This window comes from Homo sapiens, chromosome X, assembly GCF_000001405.40.
Source record: "Homo sapiens chromosome X, GRCh38.p14 Primary Assembly".
Classification (NCBI taxonomy): domain Eukaryota; kingdom Metazoa; phylum Chordata; class Mammalia; order Primates; family Hominidae; genus Homo; species Homo sapiens.
The window spans coordinates 120,293,649-120,315,090 of record NC_000023.11 but is presented as its reverse complement, the minus strand read 5'-3'; the positions used below and the strand labels follow the sequence as shown (position 1 = coordinate 120,315,090).

The 21,442-nt window shown below is 43.5% G+C and overlaps 1 protein-coding gene across 6 annotated transcripts in view, besides 1 other annotated feature; it reads left to right on the top strand.

Moving 5' to 3' along the window:
• Window positions 1–3,629: 3,629 nt before the first annotated feature.
• Window positions 3,630–21,442, top strand: part of TMEM255A (transmembrane protein 255A) — a 60,029-nt gene continuing 42,216 nt past the window's right edge. For all 6 annotated transcript variants that reach the window (XM_017029619.3, NM_001104545.2, NM_001104544.3 and 3 more), the window contains exons 1-3: window positions 3,630–3,839; window positions 10,600–10,742; window positions 21,040–21,102. In XM_017029619.3, the coding sequence (XP_016885108.1) occupies window positions 3,782–3,839; window positions 10,600–10,742; window positions 21,040–21,102 (264 nt within the window). In that variant the 5' untranslated portion in view covers window positions 3,630–3,781. The remainder of the gene's footprint in view (window positions 3,840–10,599; window positions 10,743–21,039; window positions 21,103–21,442) is intronic.
• Window positions 5,614–5,663: an enhancer, noted in NCBI's record as "active region_29903". NCBI's record gives its function as "activates an Ori minimal core promoter by ATAC-STARR-seq in GM12878 lymphoblastoid cells {active_cell/tissue: GM12878}" and the evidence as "EXISTENCE:reporter gene assay evidence [ECO:0000049][PMID:35858748]".

Sequence of the window (21,442 nt, the reverse complement as noted above, 5' to 3'; positions counted from 1 at the left end):
ATTTTCCTGGTACCCAAAGAAAAAGACCAGCTGGCAATGAGAATCAGGCAACACCCTTAACTATGGTTTTCCTCAATCAAGATTCACATGTTTGTGGTGCAGGCACTGAGTACTAGGCATTGACCTAAGGTAGTCTGGTGGGCACACCCCAACCTCAGTTAGGAATGTTTGGACTCTTTGAGGCTCTCCATTATTCTGAAGCTTCTCTCTGTCCTTGATCAACCAAAGTCTGGAAAACGAGAGTTGGATGGTGATAACCAGAGCGTAGAGATACTAGCTGGGATGTCTATAAGTATGTGCACTTGTGAATACCTGTATGGCCACCATTTTAAATATGCATGTATGCATGTATGTGTGTGTAAACATGTAGACATTTCTCTAGCCCACATTCCCAGAATTGGAATCAGGAAGGTATACTATGTAATTTAAATAGTCAAATTGGTCAGCAAAATAAGGAGATAATTGAATGCTATGGCTCTTCCCAGGGAGAATGTGTTAGACACAGAGCACCATCTGGCATTTTTCTACTGGTCTGAAGGCTTCTGGGGAGGGCGCTCATCACTGGTTTGAAGAAGATGGAGAGAAGTAGGCTGCAGCCCCATTGGTAAACATTTCCTGATGCTATAAAGCAGTTTGCAACCTAGGGCAACACTGTATGCTTGATTAAGCTTGCTATGAAAAGGATTTATTTTAAGGCATTTTAATAATTTCTTTTTTTTATCAAAAGCTAACCAAGCAGTTTTATAGTAGCCTTCACTTGCATGAAAGACCTGTTTCTTCATCTAGATGGCTTGCCTATTGGTAAGTTTTATTATAAACCTATTTATGTATAAACTCCACATGTGTTTTGACATGAAGAAAATCAGAATGGAGCCCAGGAAACATTGCCTCTTGCTTTTTAATCATCCTGTTCAATTTGAGTTAAAATAAACTTTTTTTTGGAGGAAAAGAGGTGTATGTACTGGGCTTAGTTAAAATGTAGGGGGTTTTCCCCCCAGTTCCCATTCTAGTCCCTCCCCTTTTCCCGATCCTCTCTCCAGACAAATACACCATCTCTGGGGAGAAGACTGCTACTACTCTCCAAGCTGCTGCAGCTGCTGCTATTGTCACTGCTACTGGTCTCAAAGTCATTTTTAACTTGACTGAGTGCGTGCTGTGCTCCAAGTCCCACAAGGCACCCCAAGAGACAGCACAAAAGAAACATACCATATGCAGTTCTTTTAAATAGCCAGCTCCTCTAGTACTTTATAAAATAATGTTCAATTTCAAGCAGGATTCAGGAATACAGATGTTGAGAAAGCAAACCTCACTCCCATTAAAGGTACCTCACTAGTTTGTGTCTTTGGGATTATAAAGGTCAAATTACATATGCCCTCTGCATCATTTGGTGGGTAGTGTGTTTCTCTCTGAATTGAAAAGCCCTCAATCTGTCCATCAAAACCAGCATGGTAACAAGTTTCTATTTGGCTTCTTTAGGGATCTCTTGCTGTGTGATTGCTATAGGGGAGCCAAGAATCTCTAAAGAAGGTGTCATATAGTCTTTAGAGCCTGTATAAAAACCTCTTTTCTTTCAGGCTACTTTCACAGAAACGAAATATGTTAATTAGCAAGCACTCCTGAGAAATCAGTGCTGGTTGCAGGAGTCCTCCACATTAAGTATGAGATATTTAGAATGAGAGGAGAAAGAGATAAGTAAACAGGACTCAAAGACAATCATTGCAGAAGTATAAATACAGGATTTCTCTCTGCCTTTGTGGAGCTTATAGAGACCCTGACACAAGCTAAGCAGGCTTAAGACACACACATCTACAATAGTAGGCATCTTGTCTCTATCTAGGACATATATCACAGATTTCTAAACCACATGTATAGTGTAGGGTTGCTAATAATACCTGACACAGCATTCAACGTGGCCCCTGGGGTGCCCAAGTTCTTTACAAAGGGCTTCCTTTTTAATCTTCAAGAAACATATTTTCTTCCTTCAGAAGATGGGAAAGGGCAAGGGCCTTCAGTCCCATTTCCTGGATAAGAAAAACAAAGCTTTACAGTAGATTAGCAAGGCAGATCTGGAAAGAGCCAAGTACTCTTCTTCATCCCATTGACTCTTAGAATAGTTTTATACTTGATTTGGTTTGGGTTTTTCGGGGAACATGGAGAAAGGATTGCAGCAACCATCAGAAGGAGGTGGTTGGAAGGAGACCTGGCAAGCAGAGCCTGGGAGCTCCTCAATGGGACAGTATGGGCACCTCCAAATAGGTATATTCTCTTAGCTATGTTAGGCTTCCAGGGCTGTTCCCAGAGGGAGGTGGAGTCCACTGTTACCCGCTTCCTCACCCTCCACCTCCCCTGGCCACCAGATAGATGTCTTGGGGGCACTCCAAGGAGGCCTCATCCTGATCTGCAGTTGTTTTGAGAACATTCAAACCACCTTTTGGTCCAACCACAAGGTGCTTCAAGCCCAATATCCTAATGGGGTCCAAAAGGATAGGTTCGAGAAGGATTTGGCTGTCTTCCAAGATCAATGACATTCCCACCTCATCCCCAGTTTCCCTTAGTAATCCACAGTGGATCTGTCAGCCATGACTTTACTTTCACTCTTTCCAAAGCTACTTGCATTTTCATCTTGCTGCATCTTTTGGAGCTAATGAATTCCTTAGGTTTTCCATTTGCTATAGAGAATAATAGTTCTTTTCAGTCGCCATAGCAAGAACACTCACCTTGGAGTCCAACAGATCTAGGTTCTAGCTCTCACTTCTGCCACTTACTAGCTGAGTGGGCACAGGATATTTTCTTCCCTTCTCTGAGATTCAGTTTCCTCCTCTGCATAATGGGGTTATTGATAACTCCTCTTCCTCCCTTGCATGGCTGCTATGATGATAAAATGAGATCCTTGTTATAAAAGCACTTGAACAGTACAAACTGGGGTTCTGGTGCAGAGTTATACTTTAGCTGAATTTTCTAGCTAAAGATTGGGGGCTGTTGGTTCTAGAATTCTCAGGTCTGGTGAATAAGGCTGTGCTCCTTCTCTCCGTCTCTGCATAATTTTATACACTCTGGTCACATCACTTCCCAGCCTTCATCGTTCTAGACTAAAGAGTCTGCGTTTGTTTAATCTATCTTCATATGTCAGCCACCACCCTCCCCCCGCCCCACACACACCATCCCTTTGATTATAGAGTGGCCCTTCTCTGGATCATCTCCAGCTCCATTATGTCATTCTGGAAGCACTAAGACCAGACCTGCTCAAGTGTGTGTGTGTGTGTGTGTGTGTGTGTGTGTGTTCCTCAGCTCTGAACCTCTGACTCTGACCCCCTCCCCAGTTATAAATCCTAGAACAGGATAATTACCCAAGACCCTGTCCAACTATAGAGAAGGTTGGTTGGCTTCATACTGAAGCCTCCCCCTCTTTCTCTGCGCAGCCCTGGCCCCAAGGGGCTAAAACTGCTCCCTGTCTGGCTTGGAAGGCTGGGAGGTGGATAACTAGGATGGGGAGACTGAGGGGGAGGGAGGAGGGGGGGGGTCTTGCGCAAGCGCACGCGGCTGCACGGACCGCCAATGCTGCTGCCTCCCAGAGCAGAGGGAGGCAGAAGAGGAGGGAGGGAGAAGAGTGGAAGGGAGGGGGAGGCGGCACTTGGGCTGCAGCTCGCAACCAGAGGCAGTGTCTCTCAGCTCTCGGAAGGACCGAGAGAGGCAACCGCGGAGTAGGATGCTCTGCGGGGCGCCCAGAGCCGGGGGCGCTTGAAGCAGCTTCGGGGACTGGGGCAACCGGGCAGTTTTCACCATGCATCAGTCCCTGACTCAGCAGCGGTCCAGCGACATGTCCCTGCCCGATTCCATGGGTAAGTCTAGCGGCCCTTCCTTCGGGCGGCGGCAGCAGGGGTTGAGTGCCCTGGCCTCTGGACTGTGAACGCCCCAGCTGCCCCAAAAGCCGGAGAGCGGGAAACGGGGCATGGATGGGGTGGTCTTCGCGCCCCAGCGTCTGGGTGGTGGACCAGAGTCCCAGGGGAGCGGCCTGGCTGCAGCGGGAGCGACGTGCGGAGATCGGAGCGCCAAGCTTGCGTCGGAGTATCTCTGCCCCGGAGTGCGGGTGTGTGCCTGTTTGTGTGCGTGTGTCTACAGACTTGCAGTCGGTGGTAAATCCCAGCAATCTGAGGATCAAAACACTTCCCTGCAACCTGCGCCTTCGCTTTCCATTCGACACTCCCTCTTTGCAAAGTCCTGGTCACTTCTAAGAGCTCACGACTAACGACAATTAGAAGCAGGGTCCTCGCCCCCTCCCAACTCTCTTGAAGCTGCCCTGAAATTTAGAGATGCAGTTGGGTGGGGGCCTGACTTGCACCTCGCTGATTGGGGGGGGGGGGCGGGTTGCGCAACTCTGGGGGATGGGCGGGGGTGAGAAGAAAGGGGGGGATGAGGGGAGGGGAATTCCTGAGGAATCACTCAAGACAGCCCAGCCCTGCCCTCTGCAGCGGCGGGATCAACATTCTTTGAATTTGATTGTTACTCTGCTCCAAATGCACGGAATGTGCATGAGTGTGAAAAGGGAGTCAGGGGCAGGAGTGAGAGCGCGAGAAAGAAACATCCAGCGCGAGCCCGCGCATCTTCTGAAGTCGCGCTTTTCCTCGCAGGGCGGAATGGAGGGGGAGGGGCACCCTTCGACTCCTTTCCTTATAGAAACTGGGGGACAGCTACCTTCGGGCACCAACTTGGCTGCCCCTCGAAGCTGCTTTTTGGTAGTTACAAAAAAAAACAAACCCAGTCCCCCTCAGCTGTTAGGCACCTTCCCAAGCCCTGTGATTTCACTGGGCGGAGAAATTAATTTGGAGCCCTGGAGAGCGGGAGGGGATTGTAAAATCATGATCCCACCTAATCTTTTAAAATTCGCCTCGGATACACTTCAATCAAATCGAATTCTCTCTTTCCAACATACTTTACATTCTGCAAAATCCCTCTGTCCCGCAGTTCCTGCCATCAGTCTGCTCAGGTCTTCTCCGATGAATTTGCGGGAACATCTCGAGTGGAGGGGGCAGGGAGAAGATCGAACCCCCTATATAATCTCCCTACTGCCCGCAGAAGACTCAGTGTCAACAAAACTCGTTCACCGGAGGGGCCCCAGAAAGTGTTATCTCCTGGATGGTGGAAAGATCCGTATCCTCAATGGTTTTGCATATTCAGTATAAGAATTTGCTTTTTCATTTTTAAGGGCGTAGTTATTTACAACGGGGTACAAATGAGGCCAAGGACTTGGTCCGAATCCCGAGCCCAGCAGTACCAGACTCCCCCTTACTCCCAGCTCGCGCGCGCGCACTCTTTCTCCAACACACACACCACGCGCACACACATACAGAGGGAGAGGGAGAGAGAGAGAGCGCGAGAGCGAGAGAGAGCGACAGCGAGAGCGAGAGAGAGAGAGACAGAGAGGTGGGAATGCACTGCTTACCTTGGCCAGCTGTGGCGCCAACAACGCAGCCCTGGCTCCCCGACGCCAAGCTGTTGCGCTTCGCGAGGGAGGGCAGAGTGGAAGAGTGCTGGGGTTCCGCAGCGTCCATTCCCGCTGCGGACGACAACCACCTAACCACCTGCAAATCAAGCCACAGCGCCCCGGGCCCGTCTGCCTTCGGGGAGTGGGCTGGTTGGTGGCCCAGGGCTTAAAGAGTCGCTACTTGGCGCACTGCTCTGTGGGTTGGGGAACAAGATGAAGAGCTTTCTTTCTTGGGCTCCCAGGGGCCCTCAGCGATCTTGTGTTTCTCGAAAGGTCTGCGCAACAAACAGCTGAGTGGGCTTCGCCCAGCCCAGTCTCCACACTGCGGGAAAGGAATCATAAATCCCAGATAGAAGCGGAGCCGGCGCCACGCATTCCACTTTTTGAAGTCCGCAGACCGACGGCACTGGCAAATTCCTGAGTCCAGTGCTAACGCTGGGTTTCCACAGTTTGGACAGGGGAGTCTCCCCGGAGTTCCCTGGCCCTGGTCCCGCACAGTCCGGGCCTGAATCAGCGTCTAGGCTACTTAGGAGCTACTCCCACTTAGCTCTGGCAACACCACCTTCCCTTGCGTGGGGGGAAGAGGACAGTGGGTAGGTAGGTTAGTGTTTCAGCCTCCAAGGGCAGCATTTCTGAGGGGACTCCCTTTATTGTCAAGACACAACCGCAACCAAAACAATAAAATTTAAAACACGCAGACACACTGCACCAAGGTGCCTGCACTCTACGCTTGCTGGCTGCCTGGGAATAGAGCAGTGCGTCCAAGGCTCAGAGTGGAGCAGGCGCTTTGCAATTAAGAAGATGGTAATTTGACTCCAGTGTCCCCCCATCCCCTCCCAGCAACCCCCTTCTCCCTTTTGGCAACACCGCCCCCAGGCGCAAAGGCACCTCTACTACAGTAGGGCATTCCTTCCTCCCAAATAACACATTTGTAATTCGCGGGCGGCCTCGGATGTTCTCCATTCAGAGAACTGTCTAAAGTGGGGAGGGATGGATTTCAGCGCCTTTAAGGAAATGTTTGGGAGATTGGCAGGGTCTTGAGGCCCTTGTGTGGGCAGCCACTTGTTTCTAGGGATACTCAAGGCTGGGATATCCGGGGACCCACCCTGTGTGGCAAAGCTGACTCAGGTAAGCAAATCCTAATCGGTTCAAAAGATCAACCCAGAGAACTAGCCAGGCATCAACAACACCGTGTACAGGACAGGATACTGGGTTCCCAACTTTTCTGTGCCCAATAAAGATTATACACCTTATCTACTCTCTTGGGAGAGGATAATCAAGAACGTGTGCAAGGTAAAACAAAGTAACAGAGACAGCATCCTACCTTCTAGCAACTCACATCTTGGTTCCCTCAGATACACAATCCTGGGACTGGCAGATATCATATGGGTTGTGGACCAGACCCACGGTTACAATTGTAATGGTACCAGTTACAATTAATATACTTATTGAGTAAGGTACCTGGGAATTTAGGGACATGAATAAGTGATTAATTTTGATCAAGAAAAACTTTTTGGAGGAGGGGAATTTTGAGCATGTTTCAAAGGAAGGGAGGCACCCAGGTTCAAAGACCGCAATGCAGATGGGGGCTCTGACCAGGGGGAATACCCGGATGAGAGAAAAGCTGGTTGTTTTTGGAAGGGTGGAGATAGCAAATAATTGGGTGCTTCTAGAGCTAAGCATCCTGGTCATCAGGAATCTGGGGTGGAGGTGGGGCACTGCAGAGAGGGAGGGCTGCAGTAGTTCTGCAGGGAGGCTGCTGAGGAGGGGCAGGCAAGGCCAATGAAAAGATTTCAGACTCTCTCACTGCTGTTGGTTGCAGAGGTGGTTGTTGTTTAAGCAGAAATATACTGGGTGCCAAGGAGACAGAGTAGTGAGAGATATTGTAGTTTTCACACTAGTTAGCCAGAAGGCTTTTAATTTGAGGGAACCCTCAGGTGTACCCTACATTAAAAAATCAATTCTATGAGACTAGCCCATATTTATTCACACAATTCCTCCCACATCCTTCTTGATTAAAAGGGAAACAATTCTGAGATGTTGCCTCTTGTTTATTCAACAAGTACCGATTGTTTATTAGGTATCAAACACTAGGTATAAATCGTAATAGGCATGATTTTCATATACCTGCTGCTTTATTTAAGTACCTCCTGGTGCCTGAGTTTTTTTACGTGTCACTTTACTAAACAAAATCAGAATAAGATGGTCCTGTGTTTACAGAAACATCTAAGGCAAGCCCCAAATTGTACCAGAATAAGAACACGGCTGTACTTCTCCCTTCTAAAATAAAACAACCACCAGGAAAATGTCCTAAGCAGACACAATAAACTGCCTTTTAGGAGCCTGGGCCACACCTTCAGAAAATGGGTATATCTTGCTCTAAGTAGATGTGAATTTTATTGAGTCGAATTGACACTAAAGATAAATTGAGGGGTGATTCTTCATTTTCAAAACGAGTCACCCTGGGAGGGGGTTTTCTTAAAACAGTCAATTCCCCAAGTGCAACTAGAAATAATTTCATGTTACACAATTATGGTCCTTATAAAATAAGTGGTGACAGGGAAGGACGCTCGTGAGGGGACAGAGATTAGATATTCGACCTGGTGATCAGAGAGTTTTCTTAGGAATTTTATCCAAAGCAAATCCTATCTGGAGTCAAGGCCCCTGTGGGGCTGTGGGATATTTGCCTGGGTTGCTCAAGTGACTGAATTTTCAATTCAGGTTCTAAAGCAGGAAAAAAGATTTTCAAATGACACTATGTGGTTTGCTGAGTCACTTTTCTGACCTGGCTCTTCCTGCGCTTTTAAAAGTTAGAGTGATATTTGCAAAGAAGACCCAAGAGCTGTGAATAAGATTAAAGGCCAGCTGGTGGGGAAGGAGCAGGCAAATGAAACAAACAAACAAACAAACCAAAATTAAAAAGACCATGCATGCACACACACTTCTCCAATTTAGTCTGTCAGGTTACATGTTTTCTGGGTAAGGTGTTGAGACACTTCCATATCACAAAGATATCCGTGGTGTATCCAAATGTTCTCTCACTCTCTTTTGCCAGTTTGGGGCAGGGGAGGGCTAGAGATTGTGTGAGTGACAAAAGAGAAGGGAAGACAAGAATGGGAGGCAATGTTGGTAAGTTTATGTTAGAGCCCCTCTGTAGAACCAACTCACAGATTCACTGAGAAGTATCTATCATCAAATAAACTTAGGCACCCTGGTTTAGAGACTAATTTAGGGTCCCTCAAAATCAAGAGGAAGGATAACTAAACTTCAGGTAACCAGAAGAAATAAATCCTGGCCTTCCCCCAACCCTCTACTATTCCTTTCCCAGTACCATGCAGTCCAGAGCTCCCGGCTTTGCTCCTGTGTTTACCATTAGTCAGCTCCCATTTGCATCCCTAATAGCCCTGTCATGAAAGGGCCCCGATGTTACAGGTGTCTCTAGTGGGCCTTTATGTTTTTGTCCCATGGAGGCTGGACTCAGGTCTCTTTAAAGATGAGTCTCATTTGCCAACTCTTCTTACCTCTTCCCCAGGGTGAGACATGGTGCTTTAGCATTGTAGATGCCTATAAACGTTCAAACCACTTCTACATTTCAACGAAAAATAGTCTTAGATTAGTCCCATATTAGAAATGACCCTGATGAGTCACATCCCTCATTTTCGAAGCTGACGTCAGGGGAGACCGCCTGCCCCTCCCACCTCCCTTGGAGACTTCAGCAGGGACAGTACTGGGGAAGACAGGATGGATGGTGGGGTTAAGCCCGGGTGATACTCCCAGTGCTTTTCTTCCATACAGGAGGGGATATCTGCAGTGGACTGCAAGGCCAGCCACAACCCCTCCCGTCTCACCACCACCTTGCCTCCTGGGTCTCGCTTCGTTTCCTTGACCTCGTCCCCCTTCCTCCATCCCCTCTCCCCTCCCTCTATCCCCTCTCCCCTCCCTCCCCATGGAGCAGTCTGCATGGCTTCTCTCAACAACTGCTTCCTGAGGCTGCAGTGAGGTCTCCCAGAATGACAGGGTCTTATGGACAGACTCAAGTGATCTCTTTAGGGCCATAAATGACAGTCAAGCCACGTGGGTGGGCGACTCCATCAGGGCTCCTCACTGCTTCATCCTCCTCATGCTCCAAACCTCCACTAGAGAGCTAGACTCTTCTCATTTGCTTATTTTTTTTTTTTTGAGAACTCCTAGGTAGTAACTCTCCCCTGGTTATTTCCTGTTGAAGGCCCTCTCCCTATGCCTGAGAAATCCCTGCAGAGTGTGAGACAGTGCTCGGTTCCTTTAAAAAAAAATAAATTAAAAAGTGAGCCTAGATACCATTTTTCTGTCTGACTTAATAATCCTGTTTTCAAAAAAATATTGGTTTGCACTATCATGTCTGATAAGCCCTGAGTGGGAGAATGGGTTTCTCATCATTTATGTTTATGTCACCCTCACATAAGCCTAAATGTGTATAAGTTATAATCCTCCCCACCTAACTCCCCCGATACATATCTTTGTGGACTAATGGCCTCCAAACACTCACTTTATTACACACATTTGTTATGTGACAAATCTTGCCAATACACCATTTTAAAGTTTATACATGAGGTGGCAAATGTCAGAAATAAATGAAAAAAAAATCCCAGTAACTTGGCTTGGCTGTGATATTTACACTGAAAATGAAATTTCATATCTCTAGCTTATGAAAAAAATCTTTTTAGTTGGATATTGGCTTTAAAATGTTTTCATTTAATACCCCCTCCCCCACACACACACTTCCCATTTATCATATGCCTTCTAATTTGGTCTAAAAAACCACTCTACTAAGTAGTTGTGACACATCTCTTACAGAGTGCCAGGAGCACAAAAATTCGTTTTGTTTTTACGTAACTGGTGAAATTTCTTCTGTTGTTTATTTTCAAATTGGAAATACATATTTTATTATAAAAGTGGCACCTGATGACTACAAAAAATAATGCTCTATCCCTTCCCCACAACCCCCCACCCGTCACCACCAAAGATAACTTCAGTTACCGGTAGGAATAGGAAAGGAAAACCTTCTTAGTGTTTTTTTCTTTAAGTCAATCCTTTCCCCAGCTGAAATGAGCAATTTTAATTTCTCTCTGTGCTTTCAGGAGCATTCAATCGGAGGAAACGAAACTCCATCTATGTCACCGTGACTTTGCTTATTGTGTCCGTGTTAATTCTCACAGTGGGCCTTGCTGCAACCACCAGGACCCAGAATGTGACTGTAGGAGGTTATTACCCCGGAGTTATTGTAAGTATAGAAGGCACAGGTAGGTCGCAGTAGCTTGCTGTCTACAGAAATTCTGGCTCTGCTCTGATAGTTTTCAATTCTGTTTGAGTGTCTAGTGTTTGCTCAGATTTCCTCCTTTGTATCTCTGTATATTTATGTGGAGAGGCAACTCTGGGCCCGCTAAGAAGAGCACTGGACTGAGAATCAGAAGAATCCAGCACCATCCCTATCTAACAGTGTGATCCTGAGCAAGTCATCTCACTCTTTAATACCTCAGGTTTCTGGTTTAGGAGATGTTACCAGCAGTGTTAACCTTAGGCTAAGGTCCTTTCTCTCCGGGCATCTGCATTCCCATATATAATAGAGGTCATCTGATCTCACCTGAAATCTGAGGATCCTGGCAGCTTGACACTCTGACCAACAGCACTGATCTCCAAAGTGATCCTGCACTCCTATCAGAAAAAGCTGTGGAAGATATGTTCCTAAAATATGTATATTTATTCACTTATAAATTATATATATACATGTTCATAAAACTTATATAAAAATGAACATTCAAAAATTAGATAAAAATAAGTATACAATAACTTTTAATATCTTCATGTGAACACAAACTAAAATGTCACCAGATAATATGCACTTAGTGTGAAGCTTGTCATTAAAGACAGTGGCTTTAAATCCTTATTTCAAATGGCCCACTAGATAATTGTGAATATTTTTGGCTGCCTTCTTATCCCATATGATTAGACTGTCATTGGAGTCATGTTTTTAAATGTCAATATCACAATTTGGCTGCCAAAAATCTACCCTGGGAGTTAGAAGTATTAAACTCTGCCATTTTCTTGTTGCTTACGTTTGCTTACATTATTAGGGTCATCTTCAACTTCTGGTTTCTCAAGAGGAATCTTTTCAAGCCTCTTATCCATTTTGTTGAGACTAGTTTCGTTAAAATTGGATAATACAATCCAGGCACACATAAAATGCCCCACCATCAACCGTTTGTTGCTTGGAACTTGCCCTCCTCCAGAAGGATAGTTCACCTGATCACCTGACATTCACACGGACAGAGGGTGCCAGTGACAGTCTGTTTATTAAATATTAGTAATGTTTGGTTTCTTATTATTTTAGATAAACAATAAATAGGAAACAGCCGTATTCCAGTGGATTGTTTTATCTACCCTAGGGTGCATGCAGTTCCCTTTGGAGACTGCTAAACTAGTTGCATTAGAAAAACCAAAACCTAATTTGAGTCTACGTACACTGCTGTTGAACCCAAAAACCTAACTCTAGAGGTGAGATCATATTTTAAACACCAATTAAATGGCTCCTCAATTGTTAGAGAGCAGAAGGACCTTTAGGACAATTCAGTTAAGAAATATTTTAGTACAGCAAAGAGGTCAGATGTATTTTTTGTTGTTGTTTTGTTTCATTTCTCTTTGAAATGAAATGAGAGAGAGAGAGAGAGGTGGGGATTGGAGAGAGAAGCAAAGCGAGAGGGGAGATTAAAGATGATGCCTTGGACAAGCCAGAGCTATAAGTGACCAAGCCTGGAGCCTGTTGCCTAGGTCACTGATTTCATTCCACAGTCAGCCTCCTCAATAGCTCTTGAGAAGCTGGGACCTAAAGTGGGCTGCAGGCTATGCCTTCCTGGAGCTGAAGGCTGCTGGGGGAAGTGCCTCCACAGCTCCAGGGCAGGCAGGGCTCCTCCCAGCTGAGGGCAGGTGACCCACAGACACTGTTTGGTGCCCTGTGTTAAACATGTGATGTGAGAACTCACCCAGTGCACTTCCTGTGGTGAGGCAAGAAAACCAGTCGTCAGCAGAATTGGGTTTTATTTTTAAACACAAGCAAAGCCGGTGGGGGGTCGGGGGGTGGGTGTGCAGGGAGGAACAGAGGGGGTAAGATAGCATTTCGGTGGCTTGGAAAAGCAATTTATAGGGTCTGCTTGACTTTGTGTATTTCAGGTAGCTGCATTAGTAAAATATTTCTGACTGATGAGCAAATGCTGAAGCCAAGATTTAGAGTCTCTGTGGGTGAGGGGAAGGTATTTTCCATGTTATTTAAGAGTATGAACTCCTATTCATAAACAGTGGCTGTGAACCTTCTCTGTGGAATATCTTACTGTGGGTGGCTAGGTTGGAATACGTTAACAAAGGAAGGAGGGTGCCTGATTGCTGTTATTCAAGTACCTGATGTTCAGCTAGCACTAGAAGTTGAAGCAGTGGGGGCGTGTGTTTGCGTGTGAGTGGTTCACTAAGAGCTAATATGGAAGTGTTAATAGGAAAGCCATCCCTAACGGACACTGTGCCCCCATGATTTAACCTTTAAAAATGTGCTCTCATAGTTCCTGGAGATTGCTTCTTTAAAATGCATTTTAATTACATAAAATAAAGGGGAAAAGACAGCAGATTGAATAGCAGAAAAATCCATTTGAGTTTATAGGTCAGATCACGTTGTAACAAATACAATTACGACTCATACCTCAGAAACAGTAAACGCCTGAGAATCCAGATTTGTCTGGGAATGGGGTACTTTCATTAACTGAATAGCTTGGTTATTAGGGAGTTACTATAGAAACTCCAAACCAGTGGTTTCCCCACTCTGATGTGAATAAGAATGACCTTGTGAACCTGCAAAAAATGCAGATCTCTACTCCCTAGCCCAAGAGATTCTGATTCAGTTGGTCTGCATGGGCCCTGGCAATCTGAATTTTCTTTTCATAAACTAACCTTTGATTGAAAAAGTAATAAATGTTGAATCCACCTGAGGGGAAAGAATCCGTGGGGGGTGGGGGGAGTCTAATTCAGGTGGACTAGCAACCACCTGGAGAATTAACACACAGTAAAATATGCTTAGCAATAAAACCAGAAGGATCATAATGTGTCATCTGGAGATTCTGCACTGTCAAAGTGGTCACTTTAAATATAAATTACTAATGTATAGAACTGTGAAAAAGTTTCAGCTTATTTAGAACTCTGCTGTTTTAGACTCTGATTAAATGTGTTAACAATCCATGAGAATTTAAATTTTCAAAACAGACAAATTAGGGAGAAGTTATTAGATTAAAAGAAGACTTACCATACAAATCATTTAAATATTGTGATCTCAGGTACTTAAAATATAACTCAATTTGCATAATTCTAAGTCACGTGAAGCTTTTTGGGAGCATCTTTATTTTGCCAAATGAGATATCTTTGTACAGTGAGGTGCATTATCATGGCATGTTAGCTACTCTACCTGAGCTAGCATGTGGTATCATCGTTCTAAGAGACATACGCACACATGCCTCTGTAAAGATGTGCTAGTCTGTACAGTCTGAACTGTAAAGTTTTAAAAAAACTAAAACCAGGCTGGGCACGGTGGCACATGCTTGTAATCACAGCACTTAGGGAGGCTGAGGTGGGAGGATAGCTTGAGGCCAGGAGTTCAAGTCCAGCCTGGGCAACGTGGTGAGACGCCATCTCTACAAAAAGTATATATATAAAAAATTAGCCAAGTATGGTGGTGCACGCCTCTGGTCCCAGCTACTCGACAGGATGAGGTAAGAGGATCTCTTGAGCTCAGGAGGTTAAGGCTGCAGTGAACCATGATCACTCACCCCACTGGGCTCCAGCCTGGGCCACAAAGCAAGACTGTCTCAAATAAATAAATAAATAAAATTTAAAAACTAAAAACGGCCAGGTGCGGTGGCTCACACTTGTAATCCCAGCATTTTGAGAGGCTGAAGCAGGCGGATCACTTGAGCCCAGGAGTTTGAGACCAGCCTAGACAACATGACAAAGCCCCATCTCTACAAAAAAAAAAAAAAAAAAAAATTAGCCTGGCCCTGTGGCATGAGCCTGTAGTCCCAGTTACGTGGGAGGCTAAGGTGGAAGGATCGCTTGAGCCTAGGAGATGGAAGTTGCAGTGAGCTGAGATCGCGCCACTTCACTCCAGCCTGGGTGACAGATCGAGGTCCTGTCTCAAAAAAACAAAACAAAACAAAACAGAAACAAAAACCGAACACCAACAAACAAAGACAAACTGGATTAAGAATTTTACTGTCCTCAAATATTCAAGGCATTTTATTTCAGGAGGGTTCAGATGAGCTTTCTACTCTGAAGGCCTAAAAACCCAAGAGCTTCATTTGTTGCCTGAAGCTGAAAGAGACAGGGGAGGGTGATTGCTGCTTCCCGGTACACCTCCTCTTACCTTAGATGCAGGAAAAAGAGGCCTCTAAATGTGTTTCCCAAGCAACCCACAAGATGGAGTTGGTCCCCTGGATAGTGAGACAAGCCTTTCATTCTTGCACCCTCTCCTCAGCTGCTATATTGATACTATTAGGGCGCATACTAGCCTGAGTCTTCTTTCAGGAAAGAGAGCAAGAATTTCTGCCCCCTTTCCCAGGGAGTGGGTAGGAGAGTCAGTTAATTGAAAATCATTTCAGAGTTACTGTGGGATATTAGGAGATGGGGACAACAGGGATCATTCAAAACAATCAAGATCCCAGAAACCTTCTTTAGGTCAGTGTGGCCTCAGATTCACATGTAAAGACTCCTTGGAAAAGTCCAAAGAAATTTTGATTAACATGAATGCTCAGAAAACATAAGGAGCTCTGGATAGTGGGATTTTGTAGTAAATAGTGAATTAGGCAGAAAGATTTTCAACAGGAGGTGAAAAAGTTTCTACCTCTTGTTTGAAAATGTTTCTAAAATCTAAGTTCATTCTAAAATATAAGTCCCTCACTTACTAAGTACATTTTTAAAATGGCACCTGGGCTGGGTACAGTGGCTCATGCCTGTAATCCCATCACTTTGGGAGGCCGAGGCAGGAAGATCATTTGAGGCCAGGCATTCGAGACCAGTCTGGGCAACAAAGTGAGACCCCCATCTCTATAAGAAATTTTAAAATTAGCCAGGTGTGGTGGTGCACACCTGTAGTCCCAGCTACTTAGGAGGCTGAGGCAAGGGGGTTCCTTGAGCCCAGGAGGTCGAGGCCGGCTGCAATGAGCTAGGATCTCACCACTGCTCTCCAGCCTGGGCAACATAGCAAAACTTTGTCTCTATAAAAAAATTAAGAATTAGCTAGGTACAGTGGCTCAGGCCTGTAGTCCCAGCTACTCAGGAAGCTTAGGCAGGAGGATTGCCTGAGCCCAGGAGTTCGAGGCTAGAGTGAGCCTTGTTTGCACCACTGAATTCCAGACTGGGTGACAGAGTGAGATCCTGTCTCTAAATAAATAAATACATTTGAATCTTGATTTGCTGGATAAGACTTTTATAATACCACAAGGTTCTCACCTTCATTGGCTCCCTGTTGCTTCCTTGGCATGTCATTCAGAGCTCTCCATAGATGCCCTCAGCCTAGTCTCTCATTACTTCTCTTTTGCAAAAATTGCCAATTCACAGTCCTCTGAACACGACTTGGGCTTTTCTGCCTTGGGGCCGTCATAACATTTTTTCCTCATGCCTAGAATATCCTCCCTGATCTCTCTCTCTCTCTCTCTCTCTCTCTCTAGGTGCTCTGTTCTATCCCAACTTAAAAACACAGCAGAAACATGTCTCAAATACTGAGGTCCACAGTGGTGTCTACATCTTTGAACTCCCTACTGTAGATTCCTCCTATTCATGGTTGCTGGAAAACACTTGTGTCCTGCTTTGTGGCATCTGTTGGGCTATATTCTCATTTAGCTTTGTTTATATAGGCCCTCAATCCCTTCTCTGAACCCTTGGGTCAGATGGGATTCAGAATTTAGACTTCTTATTTTAGAAAAATTATACAATACATATACCACATATTATCTAACAACCAAGTAGAGCCTTGAGAAGCATCCCATAATCAAGCACCTCATGTTTCTATAATAAAACATGGATTTTTAAACTAAGTGAGATAAAGATGATAATATAACCTCACATCAGTTCAAGATCAGGTTTTGCCACCAAGTTAGTTACATTCAAGAAAAAAAAACACTTTTTTATTTTAAGAACTTTGTGGATTTCAGGATTATGGAAAGGGATTGTGGACTGGTTTACCTAATTGTAGTATGAGCTCCTTTAGCCTGAGTGGTCTTGATCATACCCCATCCCACCTCCTGGCCTCCAAATTACAGATCGAACACACTGCCAGCCAGAGTAGATGTCCAATTAATATTTACCTAATGACTAATTTTTTTAGCCTTTGTCCTAGATGTCTGGGACAGTGAATGGGAACAGGCATAGGTGACAAGAGTCCAGCCTCAAAAAAGCCCTTGAATCTGACTTTGATATCTAATCATCTGTCTTTTTTTTTTTTCCACAAGTGGAGGACAGCCAAAACAAAGCAAACTAGTTATTTGTTCAGGTAATGGGGAATCAAGATGGAGGTCCAAAGGTCTGAACATTACATGATTCCATGAAGCTCTTGAGGGGAGACCACAGAGCTTACCTTTCTGAGGTCTCAGGGGAGCAAGCAATTGTTTAGAAGCAGCTGTCCATTTTAAGGAAACTGTTGGTTTTCCCTTCTTTATTTTCAACCCCTCAGCTCTTCCGCAAATAAGACTTCTCACTCCATCCTTGCAGAGAACTTCTTCTCTAGGGGGCAACAATGAAGTCCTTGTTGCTTGGAGGTCACAATTCTACTAGCACTGGTCACAAATGCAGCGAGGTGTGGCTAAAAGAACTCAAGCTGTTATTCAGGGGACCCGAGAGCTAGTCCCAGACCTACCATTAACTTGCTATAAGAGGGCATACATCTTTACAATTATCTATGCCTTCATTTTCCTGTCTATCAAATGGGAATGATATGAATTCCACCAAACTCCATAGTATTCCTGTGACCAAAGTAGGGGGCAAGTGCTTCTTTAACTTAAAATGCTTTTGAAATGGAAGATTGTTTTAGCAACACTGGTGAGTTCATTAACCTGTCATCCAGGTAAGTGAATTCTTCCAGCCATGACTCAATACGTATTAGTTCCCTGCCTGCTGAGCTCTAATCCATCTTTTGAGCGCATACAAAAATGTCTCCTCCTCTATGAAACCTTAGCACTACCATTTATTTAGCAGCCTACCTTATGCAAATCACACTACATACTTCATCTCATATAATCCTCAAAGCAACCCTGTATGGCAGGCTCTATTATGATTCCCATTTTATAGATGATGAAACCAAAGCACAGAGTGGTTAAGGAATTGGGCCAAGGGCACAGAGTTTATAAGTAGCAGAGCCAGGAATATATTATATTATATATAATATATATATTATAATATAATATAATATATATAATATTATATATTATAATATAATATAATATATATAATATTATATATATTATAATATAATATAATATATATAATATTATATATATTATATTATATATTATATATTATATATATATAATATATATAATATTATATATTATATATAATATATATATAATATATATAATATTATATATTATATATAATATATATATAATATTATATATATAATATTATATATAATATATATATAATATTATATATATCATATATAATATATATGATATATAATATATTATATATTATATATGATATATATTATATATCATATATATTATATATGATATATATTATATATCATATATATTATATATGATATATAATATATTTAATATATATAATATATAATATAATATAATATAATATATTTAATATATATTAAATTTATTTACCTAAATATATTTAATATATATATTAAATATAATATATATTATATTATAATATATATTATATTATAATATAATATATATATATTATATTCCTGGCTGCGTGAATTATTCCCTGCTCCTATAGCACTTTGTTTTTACCTGGTCTGTGGTCCTTAACCCAGTCTGTCTCTCCCTTACTAGACCGTGAGCTCTTGGAGGACAGTAGCCATGTCTTCTTATTCATCTGACATAAAGCTAGTAGTGAACGTCAGAAAACTGAATGCATTGGAGTGGAATAGAATAGAATAGAATAGAATAGAATAGAATAGAATAGAATAGAATAGAATAGAGGAGAAGGGGAGATAACTGGATGAAGTAACTGGCTGGCCTGGGATTTCCAGTTCTGGAGTGCCTTGTCTTTCCAGACAATTCCACAAGACTTCCACCCACCTCTTCTGGTCACTGCCATCAGAGAGTTATTTGCCATGAGAGAATATGAGGAATAGAGAGTGTCTTTGCTTCCTGTCTTAGGACAAAGACTGCTATCACGATTCAGGAGACATTCTGCGAATACCTTTGGAAGCTGATGAATTGTTAAGTAAAAGGACTTATTTTTCCCGTAAGAAGCTGCCTCCAAATTTCTCTCAACTCAACAAGTGGCCCAGAGTGCCAAAAGGAGAGACTATTCATGGATTTTCTCCTAAAAAATAGAAGCCGTGGAACATCAGAGGGGGAGACAAGATGGAACAAGGAAATTCTCTTAGCACAAAATAGAGCACATAATTATAAGATTTTCCAGCTCAAGTCAGGTTAGAGTGGCTCAAAAGTTAAATGGCTGTAAAAATAATAATAATCACTAGAAAAAAGTAATATTTACTGAGTACTTACTGTGTACCAGGTGCTGTGCAAAGTTCTTTGAATGTATTATCCTGGTTAATTCTCACAAAAGCCCTATAAGGTAGTCACTACTGTGGTTCCTATTTTTACAATATAAGAAAATTGAGGTTTAGAGAGCTTAACCAGTTTGTTCAAGGTTACACAGACATAGAAGAGCTGGGGTTGGAAGCCAGGCTAGTGTGATAACTAAGTTTTAATCAGTATATTTTATGGCAACATATTTTAATTATATCTGAAATAAGACCAGGTGGGAGACAGGCATTGCTTGACTGTTGAATGAGGATGTTCTCAGTAGAGTCTTGGATATTACCCTCATGCACTGCAGCATCTGTTTCCCAAGAGACATTGCTGTCTGAGTGGCCCTGCACAAGGAGTCCTGGAGATTTACATTCATTCCTTCCATTCATTCTCTCATTCTTGGGGTCTGAGACAGCCACCCAGTCCCCCTACACTGCCCTACCAAGCTCCTGCCCAGCCCTTGGGTCTCTTAGATTCCCAAACCTAGGTGCAAGGCTTGGGGGTCTCAAATTGAAATAGATGTCCCTGTGAGCCAAAGTAAGGCTGCAGATGGAAACCCAGACCATTAGTGAGGCTAAAGAGAAAAGTAACTTCATCACTGAACTTGTGTTAAGATTTATTGGTCCGTTCTCACCACTTTTTACTTCTTCCACTTTCATCCCCATCAACAGCTATCAGTTAGTGATCATTTTCATCTAAGACTGGCAGACTCAGTCTTCTAATGGCAGAGCTGAGAGGGCAGTGAGATCTGTTATACCAAGCCATAATCTCAGCCACTTAGACAGGAAAATTGTTTTTAGGGTTTTACACTGCCATTTCTGTTCACCCTTTAATGAATGCTTTCTGTCCATAAATGAAGCAGGGATGGAAGAAGGGGTGAATAAGTGCTAACATAAATTGCAGTGGGTCAACCACAAATACAGGCTTTCAAAAAAAAAGATTTTTAAAAAAATTTTTTAGTGTGGGTTAAGGTGCTTCCTGATTTCTAAAGTACTTCCTGAGTTGGATTGGTATGCCAGATGCATCAAAATTGCTTTTGCAAACCTTTATTTTGTGATCTATACATCAAAGTGGAAGGTCTTTTTCAAAAAAAAGATAAAAATAAAAATATAATGTGTGCTTTTCATCATTATATGTCTCTTACTGACTCACCAGTCACATGCTAGGTAATAGATATTGCAATTGAAATAGGCAGGCTCTGAAAGCTATGGTTGACCTTTACTTTTAGTTTTTGGGCACATAAGTTTCTTCTTAGGTATGATTCATAGCTACAAGGGAAAACTGGCAAATGGTGGGAAAAATACTTTTATTGTACATGCTGTATTTGTGTAAGTAACAGCTGCATGTGGCTTTAGCACCAATACCTTTTTTTTTTTTTTTTTGAGACGGAGTCTCGCTCTGTCGCCCAGGCTGGAGTGCAGTGGCAGGATCTCGGCTCACTGCAAGCTCCGCCTCCCGGGTTCACGCCATTCTCCTGCCTCAGCCTCCCAAGTAGCTGGGACTACAGGCGCCCGCCACTACGCCCGGCTAATTTTTTGTATTTTTAGTAGAGACGGGGTTTCACCGTTTTAGCCGGGATGGTCTCGATCTCCTGACCTCGTGATCCGCCCGCCTCGGCCTCCCAAAGTGCTGGGATTACAGGCGTGAGCCACCGCGCCCGGCCCAGTTTTTTCTTTTATCCTGAATCATATGAAGGGGCTGGAATGATTGTGTGGTCAGCCTGACTGTCATCCCACATACTATGTATGCCATATTGCTTTGCAGCTCGGCTTTGGATCGTTCCTTGGAATCATTGGATCAAACCTTATTGAGAACAAAAGGCAGATGGTAAGTTTTCATCCCTTATAGAGTCAAGTTCTTCCTCTAAAAAAGCACAACATTTATGTGGATAAGTAACACATTTCTTAAGTTTGTGTGATTTGGTCATAAAAGGAACTGCTACTTTGCCGTTTCTCCTAAACCTCTAGGGAATGTGTTTTACTGTGACCCTGTGATATGGGATTGGTTCTCATCTTGCTTGATGCTCCCTCACTGGCCTAGCTAGATTCCTTATGCCAAAGGGATAGAATATTCTGGATCTTGCCCTTTGCTTTCCTCCTTACTCCCAAAGGAGTGCTCCAACCTATCCAATCAGGCTATGGTCCTCACCTAGAATGCTTTTGCTTAC